The sequence below is a fragment of the Homo sapiens genome, chromosome X, assembly GCF_000001405.40.
Source record: "Homo sapiens chromosome X, GRCh38.p14 Primary Assembly".
Classification (NCBI taxonomy): domain Eukaryota; kingdom Metazoa; phylum Chordata; class Mammalia; order Primates; family Hominidae; genus Homo; species Homo sapiens.
The window spans coordinates 30,454,197-30,456,163 of NC_000023.11; the positions used below are offsets into that span (position 1 = coordinate 30,454,197).

The following is a 1,967-nucleotide window of genomic DNA, read 5'->3' on the forward strand; positions in this document are numbered from 1 at the left end:
AGTGGTTGAGGGATAGTGAGAAAGGTTGGAGAAGAGAGTAAGAAGAGGCCGCTTACCTGATTTAAAATTGGTGAGATGTTCCTTGGGCTGGTAGGTCTAAGGACCTGAGGTCGTAGGTGGATCTTTTTCATGGAGCAAAGAGCAGGAGGACAGGGGATTGATCTCCCAAGGGAGGTCACTTGATCCCAGTCACGGCACCAAATTTCATGCACGTCCATGTGAAGAGACCACCAAACAGGCTTTGTGTGAGCAACAAGGCTGTTTATTTCACCTGGGTGCAGGCGGGCTGAGTCCGAAAAGAGAGTCAGCGAAGGGAGATGAGGGTGGGGCCGTTTTATAGGATTTGGGTAGATAAAGGAAAATTACAGTCAAAGGGGGTTGTTCTCTGGCGGGCAGAGTGGGGGTCACAAGGTACTCAGTGGGGGAGCTTTTGAGCCAGGATGAGCAAGGAGAAGGAATTTCACAAGACAGTGTCATCAGTTAAGGCAAGAACAGGCCATTTTCACTTCTTTTGTGGTGGAATGTCATCAATTAAGGCAAGAACAGGCCATTTTCACTTCTTTTGTGCTGGAATGTCATCAATTAAGGCAGGAACTGGCCATCTGGATGTGTATGTGCAGGTCACAGGGGATATGATGGCTTAGCTTAGGCTCAGAGGCCTGATATACTCTTTCATAGAGAGTTCCATGGTTCCTTTAGTCATAATTAAATTTACTCTTTTATTAACTTCATAGCTCTATTTCTTTATTGCACTATTATATGTTACCTATCTTTACACACATTTCTGTCACTGACTAAGCTACTACATTCTGGTTTCTGCCTTTTCCATACCACTGAGTCTGACCTTCAAAAAATAGTCATATTCTCCTACTTGTCAAGTCCAGCAGAAATTTTTCAATCCTGGTGATACTTTTACCACTCCCTCATTTAAAGTTTCTCTTAGCATCTTCTGCCCAGTCCTCTGAATGAGGGGACTTAGTTTTGGACTTGCTATTCTGGTTTTGACTTTGTACAACATTTAGGCATTAGCTCTATTATCTGGGCCATAGGTTGTTCTACTATGGGTAGGTAGGAGGTACCACAACATCATGGCATCTTGGCCCACCACAGCCCTATAGCAGCCCTAATCCCACATTATGGGTCATGTTATATGCTTACCAGAGTGGCAAAGGAGGGAGGAGATGACAGAGTTATAGCTTTCCTAGTTCACATGTAACTCTTCTGAAATTAGGTAATAACTCCCACTTCTTATTTTTGTTTGTTTGTTTTTTTGAGACGGAGTGTCGCTCTTGTTGCCCAGGCTAGAGTGCAATCTCGGCTCACTGCAACCTCCGCCTCCCGGGTTCAAGCAATTCTCCTGCCTCAGCTTCCCAAGTAGCTGGGATTACAGGCATGTGCCACCACACCCTGCTAATTTTGTATTTTTAGTAGAGACAGGGTTTCTCCATGTTGGGCAGGCTGGTCTTGAACTCCCAACCTCAGGTGATCCATCTGCCTCGGCCTCCCAAAGTGCTAGTATTACAGGCATGAGCCACTGAGCCCAGCAAACTCCCACTTCTTATAAGTGTTCTGCGGATTATCACTGCATAACATTCTATGAATCTCACTTTCTCAACTTGCTTTTTTTCTGCATCTCCACTAAAATGTAAGCTCTATGAAAGCAGGGAATTTTGTGTGTTTGGTTCAGTCTTGTATCCCTAACACCTAGAATTGGGCCTGACACATAAGAAACAGTAAAAAAAAGAAAAAAATCTGTTGAATGAATAAATGAAAAGTATTTAATATATAATAAGTATTCAATAAATTCTAGCAACACTGAACTTCAGGGAAGCCTATACTGTTGTTATTATAATTTAGATAAAGAAATGTATCTGCTCCCTTCAAGTAGTTTAATCTATTTGCTTGGAATTTCATGTTTTTACTGTAATTGCTTTCTTTTTCTCGTTTTCTCTTTCACACTTTCAGCA

At 42.5% G+C, this 1,967-nt stretch overlaps 1 annotated feature.

The window, feature by feature from the left end:
- Positions 228 to 786: an enhancer, noted in NCBI's record as "NANOG hESC enhancer chrX:30472541-30473099 (GRCh37/hg19 assembly coordinates)". NCBI's record gives its function as "activates a minimal SCP1, AML or CMV promoter by ChIP-STARR-seq in naive H9 embryonic stem cells {active_cell/tissue: H9 hESC(naive)}" and the evidence as "EXISTENCE:reporter gene assay evidence [ECO:0000049][PMID:30033119]".